General features: G+C 59.9%; 1 protein-coding gene across 1 annotated transcript in view, besides 4 other annotated features; it reads right to left on the reverse strand.

The window, feature by feature from the left end:
* FAM53A (family with sequence similarity 53 member A) overlaps nucleotides 1-12457 on the reverse strand; it is a 111956-nt gene that overhangs the window by 29349 nt on the left and 70150 nt on the right. The gene's annotated exons all lie outside the window — the stretch shown is intronic.
* Nucleotides 503-1494: an enhancer, noted in NCBI's record as "H3K27ac-H3K4me1 hESC enhancer chr4:1605640-1606631 (GRCh37/hg19 assembly coordinates)". NCBI's record gives its function as "activates a minimal SCP1, AML or CMV promoter by ChIP-STARR-seq in naive and primed H9 embryonic stem cells {active_cell/tissue: H9 hESC(naive and primed)}" and the evidence as "EXISTENCE:reporter gene assay evidence [ECO:0000049][PMID:30033119]".
* Nucleotides 1495-2485: an enhancer, noted in NCBI's record as "H3K27ac-H3K4me1 hESC enhancer chr4:1606632-1607622 (GRCh37/hg19 assembly coordinates)". NCBI's record gives its function as "activates a minimal SCP1, AML or CMV promoter by ChIP-STARR-seq in primed H9 embryonic stem cells {active_cell/tissue: H9 hESC(primed)}" and the evidence as "EXISTENCE:reporter gene assay evidence [ECO:0000049][PMID:30033119]".
* Nucleotides 8342-8969: an enhancer, noted in NCBI's record as "VISTA enhancer hs526". NCBI's record gives its function as "enhancer in: forebrain[4/4]" and the evidence as "EXISTENCE:transgenic organism evidence [ECO:0001131][PMID:17130149]".
* Nucleotides 11446-11947: an enhancer, noted in NCBI's record as "H3K4me1 hESC enhancer chr4:1616583-1617084 (GRCh37/hg19 assembly coordinates)". NCBI's record gives its function as "activates a minimal SCP1, AML or CMV promoter by ChIP-STARR-seq in primed H9 embryonic stem cells {active_cell/tissue: H9 hESC(primed)}" and the evidence as "EXISTENCE:reporter gene assay evidence [ECO:0000049][PMID:30033119]".

Raw genomic sequence — 12457 nt, forward strand, 5'->3', positions numbered from 1 at the left:
GGGGACAGAGGCTGCTGGGCCGCCCACCGCAGGACAGGAGAGGACACCCTGCTGACCAAGGCTGGAAGCCCCAGTGGGTAGGAATGGCCTGGGGCAGCTCAGGGGCAGGGTGGGGCCCGGCACCCCATCCCTCTGCCGATGGTCCCAGGAGGCTTCCTCCCTCTACAGACCCTGGCACTGGAGGGGTCCAGCCTGGCTCTGGGTGGTGAAGGCAGCCCTGCCCCTCCCAAGCATCCCTGGCCCCACTGACACGGCTCCCACCAGGTAGCCCCCACCACCTGGCAGTGTGTGTGCGGCCTGCAGCTTGAAGAGCCCCTCGGGACGTGCTGAAATTGCCCCAAAGAAAGGGTTAAGCAGATTTAAAGTGGAAGAAGCAATGTCACAAAACATGGCCCCAGGGAGCCTGGGGTGTGGAGCCTCAGAGGCTGGCAGGCGTCCTGGGCAGTGCCCTACGCAGAGCAGACAGCGATTGCTGCAGGCCTGACATTGGCCGGTGTCAGTTCTCGGGGCGACAGGGCCAAGGCCACCTTGGGCCAGCCAGGTAGGAGGGTTCCCATCCCTCACAAGCCCTCATGGGCACAGCTGCTGCCTCCAGCCTGCCAGAAAAGCCCTGCCCGGCTGCCCTCAGAGACCCTGCCCAGGCCACACTGGGGCCATCATCGCGGGGTGGTCCAGGCAGGGTGCCTGCCCCTGCTGCCCCCAACTCTAAACATTTGGGGTGGACAGGACCCGAGGAAAGGTTCTGCCCCCGGGAAGGGGCTGCCTGGTGCAGACCCAGGATGGTCCCAGGCTGTGTGGATGGGTGGGGAAGAAGGCTCGAGGCTGCCGCACCCACCCAGGGCTGCCCAAGGGCTGAGTCAGACCCCACGTGTGCAGCGGCCGGAGTAGAAAGGAGATGGGGAGGGCTCAGGCGGGGTGTAGGCGGTGGCTGCCTACGCAGGTTGGGGTGGGGGCACCCAGTGCTGTTTGAGGGCGCAGACCTGGAGCCTGGAATTGGACCCTGGACAGGAACGTGGAGGGTCCCGTACCGTGGGCAGGAGGGGGCCTCAGTGTGCAGGGCGTGGGGGACACCCAAGGTCAGCACATCCCCGAGAGACCCCAGGGAGCCCCCCACTCACAAAGCCGCACGGCGCCCTGGCCTCACAACTGAGACTCAGGGCGGGTCAGGGCCCCTCACTCCCTCTCTCCAACAAGTGCTGGGACCGCATGACCACCCTACTTCCCCCAGGACAGCACAGGGACTGCACTGCCCACTTCCTCCGACGGACACGGCCATCCTCTGGGGCCCTTCCCGGGACTAACATTGCTCCCACGCCCTCCCGCCTCCTCCTGCTTCCCCAGAGCATCCGCTGCAGCCCCCGCCCCACTCCAGAAAAAGCATCCCCAGCCTAAAGCAAAGAAAACCCAGACCGAGCACCACCCCCACCCTGCGGCGGCTCCCCCAGTGCTCTGCCCCGCTCCCGCAGTGCTGTCTGCCAGCTGCTCCCAGGACCTCAACTCCCCAAGGCTCTGGCCCTGCCCCCCTCCTGCCCCCTCTCAACACGCACGTGGGGCCTCCACATCTCCTGCTTGGCAGGAACCTGCCCCTCTCTCTGGGACACCTGCCTGCTGGCATCTGAGCCAGACCCTGCTCCCGCCACCTGCAGACACCGGGCTCCACCTGGCTGCTGAGTCTCGGGTGTGCAGGGTGTGCTGTGGCAGCACCAACCACTCCAAAGCTGAGCGGCTTCCACCGGGCAATTTCACGATGCCCACGGCCTCCAGGCCCAGAATTCAGAGTAGGCGGTGGGGGTGGGGTTGTTTCCGCTCCACAACGTCGGAGGCATTGGCTGGGTGCTCTCAGCGCGGCCTCAGCTGGGACTGGAGTCGGAACTCCCAGCGCAGCCTCCCCATCCTCCCCATGTGGCTGGGGCTTCCTCACAGCCCAGCTCCAGGTCCCAGGAGCAAGTGCTCAGGAGAACCCAGGAGACAGCCGTGCCGGTGACCCAGCCTGGAGTCGCCCATTCCGCCCCCACCAAAGGACCCTGCACCCAGCTTCCAGGGGCTGGGCGTGGAGCCTGACTCGGAGTGTGGTTGTGAGAGGCCCAGAGCAAGATGAGCGTGAGGGAGGGGACGACGCGCAACCACTTTTGAAAAGCGTGTTCTGCCACAGCCGCCCTCCAGCCACACTTCCCATCCCTCCTCTCCCTGCGGGTCCAGGTGTGGACGCGGCTCCTCGGGGTGCCTCCTCCGTGCACCCCAGAGACCCAGGGCTCCCTGCCGACCCTGCAGGGTGAGCTCTGCCCACGTCCTGCACTCAAGGGTGGGGCTGCCCAGAGGCACCTGCAGGCACCGCCCGCAGCAGTTCTGAAACCCTGGGGCGGGCACAGCTTTCGAGGTTGCTGACTGGCGCACCCCTTCTTCCCAGGAGTCCTGGTGGCTCTCATGCTCCCGGCCCAGGCTTCAGAGTCTTCTCCCCTTTCCCCCTCCCCACTGGAGTTCAGGGGGACCCTCGTTGTCCCGTTCCTGTCCTCTTTAGCCCAAACTGGAAGTGCTCTCTTTGTTTTGTAGGCAGCATGACTGACGTTAGCTGGCCTAGCAGGGCCTGTGCCAGGAATTCTCTCCAAAATGCTGCGGGTTTCCTATGACTCTTTTTTTTTTTTTTTTGAGATGGAGTCTCGCTCTGTCGCCCAGGCTGGAGTGCAGTGGCGCGATCTCAACTTACTGCAAGCTCCGCCTCCCGGGTTCACGCCATTCTCCTGCCTCAGCCTCCTGAGTAGCTGGGACTACAGGCGCCTGCCACCACACCTGGATAATTTTTTTTTTTTTGTATTTTTAGTAGAGACAGGGTTTCACCGTGTTAGCCAGGATGGTCTTGATCTCCTGACCTCATGATCCTCCCGCCTCGGCCTCCCAAAGTGCTGGGATTACAGGCATGAGCCACCGCACCCGGCCTCCTATGACTCTTACTGGGGTCTATGTCATTAGACAAAAGCCACACTCCCCACCCCTCCACGGTAAGCTCTTCCCGCCGCGGGCTCCTCGCGGGACTGCTAAGATAGCCGAGACCCGATGCCCTTCAGATTCTAGAAGCCCCACTGTTTCATGCAGAGGACCGAGGCAGACCCCAGACCCCCAGAGTGTGTGAGGTGTGTGTCCTGCCTACCGCGTGACTCAGACAAGTGCATAATGACAAGTGCATAAACGACTCAATTATGTGGGACGGGTCCTCTGACGATGGCTCGTTTCACTCAGCATGGTGTCCCGAAGGTGCGCCTTCCTGAAGCACATTGAAGAACCCCCTTCCTTATCCTGGCTGCATAATAGTCTACTGCACGGATGGACCCCTGTGTAGCGTTCCCCTGCGAGGGACTCGGGCAGCCACGCCCCCTAGCTGTCGGGGAAAGCGCTGCTGTGAATGCGGGTGCAGCTGTCCCAGCCCCTGCTTTCCACTCCCTTGGGCCTGTACCCAGAGGCGGAATTTCAGGATCACCTGGAGATTCTGTTTAACGTTTTGGAAGCTGCCATGCTGTTCCCCACCGCAGCTGTACCACCTCACGTTCCCACCAACAGGGCACGAGGGTTTCGGCGTCTCCACAGCTTCCACAACGCTTGCCACTTTCTGGGTTTTTTGTTTTCTTTCTTTTGAGACGGAGTCTCACTCTATCACCCAGGCTGGAGTGCAGTGGCCCGATCTCAGCTCACTGCAACCTCTGCTCCCCGTGTTCAGGCGATTCTCCTGCCTCAGCCTCCCAAGTAGCTGGGATTACAGGCATGCGCCACCACACCCGGCTGATTTTTGTATTTTTAGTACAGACAGGGTTTCACCCTATTAGCCAGGCTGGTCTTGAACTCTTGACCGCAAGTGATCCGCCTGCCTCGGCCTCCCAAAGTGCTGGGATTACAGGTGTGAGCCACTGCATCCAGCCTCTGGGTTTTTTTTTTTTTTAATCATAGCCATCCTAGTGGGTGTCTCATTCCAGTTTTTATTCTATTATTATGGAAACGTGCGTGCGTACACAAAAGCAGTGAGACCTGTAGCATGGGACCTCGTGCCATTCACCCACGGCCTTCAATCGTCAACTCAGGAGCAAAGTGGCTCCATCTCCACCCCACCCATCCCCCAGAGCATCTTGAAGTGAATTTTCCATATCACATCCTTTCATCCATTCGGGCCTAAGTGAGGCCGCCCCCCCACCACTGATGTCCCCTAATCCACATCCATCCTGTGGAAATCAAGCCATGCCAAGCCCTGGCTTCACCCGCCCAGTCCGGGTGCAGTGGCTCACACCTCTAATCCCAGCACTTTGGGAGGCCGAGGTGGGCGGATCACCTGAGGTCGGGAGTTGGAGACCAGCCTGATCAACATGGAGAAACCATGTCTCTACTAAAAATACAAAATTAGCTGGGCGTGGAGGCGTGTGCCTGTAATCCCAGCTACTCGGGAGGCTGAGGCATGAGAATCACTTGAACCGAGGAGGCAGAGGTTGCAGTGAGCCGAGATCACGCCACTGCACTCCAACCTGGGCAAAAAGAGTGAGACTCCGTCTCAAAAAAAAAAAAAACACCAAAAGTAGCCGGATGTGGTAGCACGAGCCTGTAATCCCAGCTACTCAGGAGGCTGAGGCAGGAGAATCACTTGAACCCGGGAGGCGGAGGTCGCAGTGAGCCGAGATTGGGCCACTGCATTCCAGCCTTGGTGACAGAGCAAAACTTTGTCTCAGAAAAATAAAAACAAAAACAAAAAAATCACCTTCCCAGGACACAGAGAACAAAACCCCAGCTCAGCCACTGATGGTGCCCCTATGGCCCCCCTGGTCTCCTCAGCCCCTCCCGGCCTCTCCGATCTTCTATGTGTTCCACCTGCCGTGCCTGCACCCTGAGACCCCCACCCCAGGCGGCCCCTCCTGAACCTCCAGACCTCCGTGTAAACATGGCCTCCTGAGAGAGCCCCGTCCTGGGTGCCCCCAGCCCCATAATTCCCTCCACAGTGGCGACGGTGGCCTGAAACTGCGTGGATCTGCTGTTTCCATGCTCACGGGCCCCTCCCCGCCCAGGCGCCAGCCACGGGTGGAGGCTGCAGTTGTCTCCGTCTTGCTCTCTGTTGTCCCAGGGGCCTGTCCTGCTGGTTCCTGAGGGGCTCCGTGGCAAGAGGTGAGGCCCCTGGTGGGAGGGCCCAGTGGGTGGGGGAGGCTTAGAGGCAGCAAAGTCAGGTCAGCAGTGGCTGAAACCCAAGGAGGGTCCTGCAGCCGCTACACACACACTCTGCTTAGTAACGGCTCCGGCACCTGACACCCGCTGCCCACCAGTGCCTGGCCTCAGCCCCGTCCATCACTCCCCGTCCTTCACCCATCCCTGCTCGCCGGAGGGAGAGCCGTTTGGATCTGTCCAAGCTGAACAATGCAATACTTCTGCTGAGCTGTGAAGCTGATTAATAATTTGGAAATGAAATCAATATGGGTTCTGCTTTTCATTCCTGGTGAATCCTCGTATGCTGGGCTTACGGGACGGAGGGCGCCAGGGACAGGGACCATGCGGGTTTGGAGGCGGGGCCCAAGGAGGAGCAGGAGGGAGAGACACAGATGGCCCAGCGCTGCACCACTGAGCAAATGGGATGGCGGCTGCCGATGCAGTTCAGACTTGGCCTTGAATCCACGTCAGGAACCAAGCCCAGCGGTGCTGCAGACCCCAAGCCCTGGCTCCTGCTCAGGAGCCCCCTAGGCCTCTGGGAGAGAGGGCTGTCCAGAGTTGTCGCTGGTCTCAGGGATCCCCTCCCCTCAGGATGTGGCTCTGGCAGGGCTGTCTCTGCTGCCTGGGGTCCCCCACTCTCAGAAACAGAGTCCGGGGCCTGGGGTCCATGGCCAGCCCCACACCCCCATCCCTCATCAGCCCCTCGGGCCTCCTTCCAGCCCCCCAGGTCCTGACAGGCTCCAGGGCCTCACTGACTCTCACGGGAAGGCCCAGGCCTGCACCTGCCCCGGGGCCTCTGATATGGTTTGGCTGTGTCCCCACCTAAATCTCATCTTGAATTGTAACTCCCATAATCTCCACATGCCATGGGAGGGACTCGGTGGAGGTAACTGGATCATGGGTGCACATACCCTCATACTGCTGTTCTCCTGACAACAAGTGAGTCTCACGAGATCTGATGGTTTAATAAGGAGCTTCCCCCTTCGCCAGGCTCTCACCCTCTCCCCTGCTGCCCTGTGAAGAGGCGCCTTCCATCAGGGTTATAAGTTTCCTGAGGCCTCCTCAGTACATGGAACTGTGAGTCAATTAAACCTCTTTCCTGGCCAGGTGCAGTGGCTCACGCCTGTAATCCCAGCACTTTGGGAGGCCTAGGCAGGTGGATCACCTGAGGTCAGGAGTTCAAGACCAGCCTGGCCAATATGGTGAAACCCCGTCTCTACTAAAAATATAAAAATTAGCCAGGCATGGTGGCAGGCGCCTGTAATCCCAGCTACTCGGGAGGCTAAGGTGGGAGAATCGCTTGAACTCAGGAGGCAGAGGCTGCAGTGAGCCGAGATCGCGCCACTGCACTCCAGACTGGGCAACAGAGACTTTGTCTCAATAAATAAATAAATAACCTCTTTCCTTTATAAATTACACAGTTCTTTATAGCAGCATGAGAATGGACTAATATGGCCTCCCTGGAACCCAGGGCTTTGTGGCGGCCCCCGAGATGGGTGTCTCAGCCCCTGCGACTTCCCTATGCTTGTGAGCACCTATAACCCCTCATCATGGATGCTGAGCCCCCTGCCAGCTCAGTGCCGAGGGGGCACCCAGGACTGGGCCCGTCCACAGCAGCTTGTCCCCCTTCCCCAACCCCTCCCTACACCCCACTCAACGCGCTGCCCCCACACCAAGAATTTCTCCTCCCCTGGCCCCCAGACTCCAGCTGCCTCCCCTGGCCCCCGGACCCCAGCTGCCTGCCGGAAGACCTGCCACCCGCCTCAGGACACCGCCCGTGCAGGGGAGCCCAAGGGGCAGACGGGCAAGGGGAGGGATGAACAAGTGAGCAGGCTCTCGGATGCCCAGGCGTGGTGCAGGGGCTACGTGCCTCGAAGGTCTGTGGAGATGGTGACCGGGGATCCCAGCAGGGCCCCTGTTTTCGGGGCCAGAGCAGCAAGAGGTGCCCAACACTGGGAGGGCCAGACTAGGGCCTGGAGGACAACAGGGAGGGCAGTGGGGGTGGCCTGGGGTGGAGAGACTGCAAAGTCCCCAGGCAGGGCATCTGGGCTTGGGAGGGATTCCGCGACGTGGGGGGCGGCCTGGGGTGGGGGACAGAGGCCTGGGCACCCCAGCTGGGCAGGCGGCTGAGGTGGCTGTGACCCCAGGCCAAGGCTGGAGGGGCACCTCCCAGGCTCTCCCCCACTGCACAGCCCCATGACAGGGCAGGGCAGCCAGACGCCCCCATCTGCCCTGCCAGGCTCTGCGGCCACACTCAAAACACTGGCCCCTGCCCCCAACCCGGGCCCCGGCTGCCCTCTTTCTGCCCCCGACTCACCCCTGGACCAGCCCTGTCCGCAGCACACCCGAGGCCCTCAGGCTGCCCACACTCTGAGCACCCACCCTGCTCCAGGGCACAGCCCTGCCACTGGCACCTGCTGGTTGCACGGACGTGGGCTGGACCATGTGGCTTTGAACCCTGCCTGGTGACCTCCGGCAGATCCTCAGGGCCCTAGCTGGGGAATGGGGGCACAGAACGGGGCCTCTGGGCCACCCTGAGGTGCGTCTCAGCCGCCTGACCCAGCCCGGCTCACAGGAAGCAGGGGCGCAGTGGGCGGTGTCCCTCATTTGCAGCGACACTGTGTGTGGCCTTCACTCCTCTTGCTCAGCTCAGTCCTTGGAGCACTGGCTGGGCCAGGATATGGGGGTGTGGGGTCTGTCCGTGGGCCCTGAGAGACACCCCTGGCTGGAGGGGGGCCCCCGCCACCCCAGTTCGAAGCCTTGGTGTTCAGCAGTCAGTCTCCCCCCGTCCTCCTGGCCTGTCCTGGAGAGCAGCCCTCAGACCCAGCTCAGGCCACAAGGGCAGCTCAGGTCACAGAGGCTCCTCACCAGTCCCAGGGCAGGGAACTGAGCTGACCTGCACTGGCCCAGCTGGCAGAGCCTCTCCTGAGGTGCCCCTGGTGCACAAGAAGACAGGCAGCTCCTCACTTCAAAGGCCACATGTAGCCCCTGCTGGGCCTCCAGACACAGGCAGGTACCAAGGCCTGGGCGGGCAGCACCGTGCCAGGCTGCTCCATGTGCCAGCAGCAGAGGCGCCTCCGTGGGGGCCCTGGCTCCTGAGCCCTGCAGTCTCTGTCCACACGGTGGGCAAGGGGCCAGCATGGAGGGTGAGGGCCCCCCACCCTGGCCATGCCAAAGGTTCTCAGCACAGGCTGGAGGCAGCCCCTCTGCCAGGAGGTGGCCAGTGGATGGCGGCACATGCAGAGAGAAGGGACGACTCCAGCAGAGTGCTGCTGTCCGGCCGAGCAGCTACCCGAGAGCTAAAGTTCCTTGACCCGTGCCTGGCAGGGGAGGTGGTTTTATAGGAGCCATTGACCGGCGGCATTGATCCCCAAGAATGTATCGCACAAATCATTTTGCACTAAACTGCGGAATCGATGGAGAAATCTCCCGGAAAATTTATATTAAAAGTCTCTGTTTGCCTAAATGAGTTCCCTGTGCCCATATTGAATATTTGGCTGATGAATTGAATGGGTTTAAATTTGAACATTGCAGACCCATTAAAGAATGAATTCTTAAATCAAACCCTGCCGTTTATGATTGAAATGAGATTTCCTCTGCAATGGGCCAGCCACTAAATAAATCAGCTGTATGTTTTATACTGAACCATAAACAAGATATAAGTCTTTTAAATACACAACAGGTGCCTTAAATCTTTTGATGCATCTTGTATTTATCTGAAGTGCAGATTGCTGTATTTACACCAGGTCGTGCAAGACCTCTCACGGTGCTGCCAGTGAAGGTTAAAGTGGCTACTGGGCTCCCGCCAGGGCCTCCCGAGAAGCCCAGGCAGGGCCGAGTGCTCTCAGCCAGCACGCTCGAGGGGTGTGCTCCGCCCCCTCAGACACACACGAAGGCATGCGCGCACACACACACATGCTCACACACACCACACATGCATAGGCACACATGTACACACCCACACGGACCTGCACCCACACATCACACACACTCGCGTAAACACGCACATGGCAGGTGCATAAATGATACCTGCACAGATGCATACAAGCCTGGTGCATGCACACACGCCCAGGCCTGCCGCATGTGACACACGTGTGCTCACACTGACACACGGCACCCACATGCGCACAGCATAAACAAGCATGCACACACCAGCACATGTACACACAGGGCAGGTTCACAAGTGCACACATGTACACACCTGCATCCACTCACCTGCACAAATGTGGGTGCTTGCATGCTCTCGGGCACGTGATCACACACGCATGTATACACTCAAACGCATACTGACACACAGGCACATGGCACCCACTTACACACACATGCCAACACACACAAGGCACATGGCCTGCTACACATATGTACATCTCAGCACAAATTCACTAACCCAGGCATGCACACGCAAGCACAGACACCTGCGCACACACTGGCACGGCCTCCCAGCCCTACCCAGTGACCAAAGGGTCAGCAGAGGCAGCCTCTGCAGCAACCCAACCCGGCAGGGACAAGCTACTCGGGAAAACAGAGAACAGAGAACAGAAAGCAGGGCTATTCCCACCTCTGTGCACAAGGCATGGCCAACTCTTGCCTTAGTCCCGCCCCTGCTGCTGTAACAAAACACACAGACTGAGTAATTTACAAAGAACAGAAAGGTACTGGGGGTGGGAAGCCCAAGGTAGGGGCGCCGGCAGGTTTGGTGTCTGGCGAGGGCCCAGGCTCCGCTCCCAATATGGCGTCCTGTCACCGGGTCCTCACCCTGTCAAAGAGCAGAAGTGAGTGGGCCCAGTCCCTCAAAACCCTCGGTAAGGGCCCTAATCCCAGCCAGGAGGGCAGAGCCCCTGAAACCTAACCATCTCCCAAAGGCCCTGCGTCTTAGTCCTACTGTTGGAGCTAATGTTTGAACATGAATGTTGGAGGGACACAAACACGCAAAACACTGCAACCCTGATGCGAAAATAAGCACACGCAGGCACCACGAGAGAAGAAAGTCCCGGGCAGGCCTGAGATCCACACCGACGTGCGTGGCTATGCGTGTGTGTGTCACAGGCAAGCTGCATTCATGGAAATGAATCCAACAGTGTACCTTAAGTGACACCGTGTGAAGCAGGCCAGGTGTGCCGGGACAGCTCCACACCAGAAAATCACCCCTGTGGTTAGTTCCATCAGGAGCCACAGGAGAAAAACCACACAATTGTCTCAGAAGACTTGGAAATGCTTTTCATAAAGTTCAATAGTTATTTTTTTACATAACTCAAAAACTAGGAAAGAAAGATAATAGGATCATTATATGGAGAACAGTACCTGTACCTCACCTGTACCTCAGGTCCCACGCAAAGAGGGAGAGGCTGGGATCACATCAGCAGGCTTCAGAAACTGATACGAAAACGTCAGAGAACCCCGAAGAAGAAGTGAGCACCAAAGACTCGGCGATTCTCAGGAGGAGGGTGCCAGCTGGCTGGTATGCTCACGCGACCAGCCTCACAGGAGTCAGATGAATGCGGCCAGTCACGCTGGGCACCTGCCACACTCGGTGTGGAGCAGCAGACACTGGAGGGGCATAGCACAGCCACCGCCGGCAAGGACAGGAGGATTGGGGCCTGCAGGCTGCGCGCAGCCCATCCCAGAGGCCGGCTGTGGGGCTTGTGGAAAGGGTGTCTGCAGACCCTGGGGCTCCACGGCCCCACTTCAGGCCACACAGCCAAAGTCACGGGGCCTGCTGAGGAGCACCCAAGCATCACCCACCGGCGAAGGGGTGAGGGGGATACAGAGAAGTGAGGGGGATGCAGAGACGTGAGGGGGATGCAGAGACGTGAGGGGCATGCAGAGACGTGAGGGGGATGCAGAGACGTGAGGGGGATGCAGAGACATGAGGGGCATGCAGAGACGTGAGGGGGATGCAGAGACGTGAGGGGGACGCAGAGACGTGAGGGGGATGCAGAGACGTGAGGGGGATGCAGAGACACACCAGAACAACAGAAGAGGCACAGCCCCAGAGCAGCGTCACCGCAGCAGCAAGAGGACGGGGCGCCAGGTCAGCCGTCGCTGCCCCTGGGGTTCTGTCTAGGAAGCCTCTGCACAGGGAGCTCCTGCTCCTGGGGGCAGCCCAGGGGAGGTTCCTGCCGCCTCCGGTCACAACAGCTCCGTCCGCCAATCAATACCCGGCCCTGCTTTATGTGTGGCCCTATTCACAGACACCGCACTGAGCGTGTATATTGATCCCTTAACATCAAGCTCACAGCCAGCGGTGCCACAGCTCCCACCCAGAGGCAGGTCGCCCCACACGCATTTCTCCACGGGGTGCCCCATGGCCGTCCTATGCTGACGGACACCAGATGGCATTTCAGCACCGGGCACAGGGGCCGCTTTAAACAGCAAAATCACCAAAGGGACACGAGAGCAAAAACATGGCACACGCAAACCACAAAAAAGGACATTTACAGATGAGCAGAGACAGAAGGCAGGATGCGGCCACGCCCACCCCACCTGGGCACACAGAAGGCAGGACACGACCACGCCCACCTCACCTGGGGACACAAGGGAGGCAGGATGCAGCCACGCCCACCCCACCTGGGTACACACGGAAGACAGGATGCGGCTACGCCCACCCTACTTGGGCACACACACGGAAAACAGGATGCGGCCATGCCCATCCCGCCTGGGCACACATGGAAGACAGGATGTGGCCACGCCCACCCTACCTGGGCCCACACGGAAGACAGGATGCGGCCACACCCACCCCACCTGGGCGCACACTGAAGACAGGATGCGGCCACGCCCACCCCACCTGGGCACACACACGGAAGACAGGATGCGGCCACATCCACCCCACCTGGGCACACATGGAAGACAGGATGCGGCCACACCCACCCTACGTGGGCACACATGGAAGACAGGATGCAGCCACGCCCACCTCACCTGGGCACGCACGGAAGACAGGATGTGGCCACGCCCATCCCACCTGGGCACACATGGAAGACAGGATGCGGCCACGCCCACCTCACCTGGGCACGCACGGAAGACAGGATGTGGCCACGCCCATCCCACCTGGGCACACATGGAAGACAGGATGCAGCCACGCCCATCCCACCTGGGCGCACACAGGGGATGGCCCGAATTGTTTGCTGCTCCTCACATGTCCAAGAATGACCACAAAAGCACCACAAGTACTGATTTGGGGGTTGCCACTTTATCAAGGAGGCAAATGTGCAAATGCAGAATCCGAACAAGGGATTGGCTGCATCCACAGATGAAGGACCATGCACTTTTCTCCAAAGCCGCCATGCAGCAA

The sequence above is a fragment of the Homo sapiens genome, chromosome 4 (genome assembly GCF_000001405.40).
Source record: "Homo sapiens chromosome 4, GRCh38.p14 Primary Assembly".
Taxonomy (NCBI): domain Eukaryota; kingdom Metazoa; phylum Chordata; class Mammalia; order Primates; family Hominidae; genus Homo; species Homo sapiens.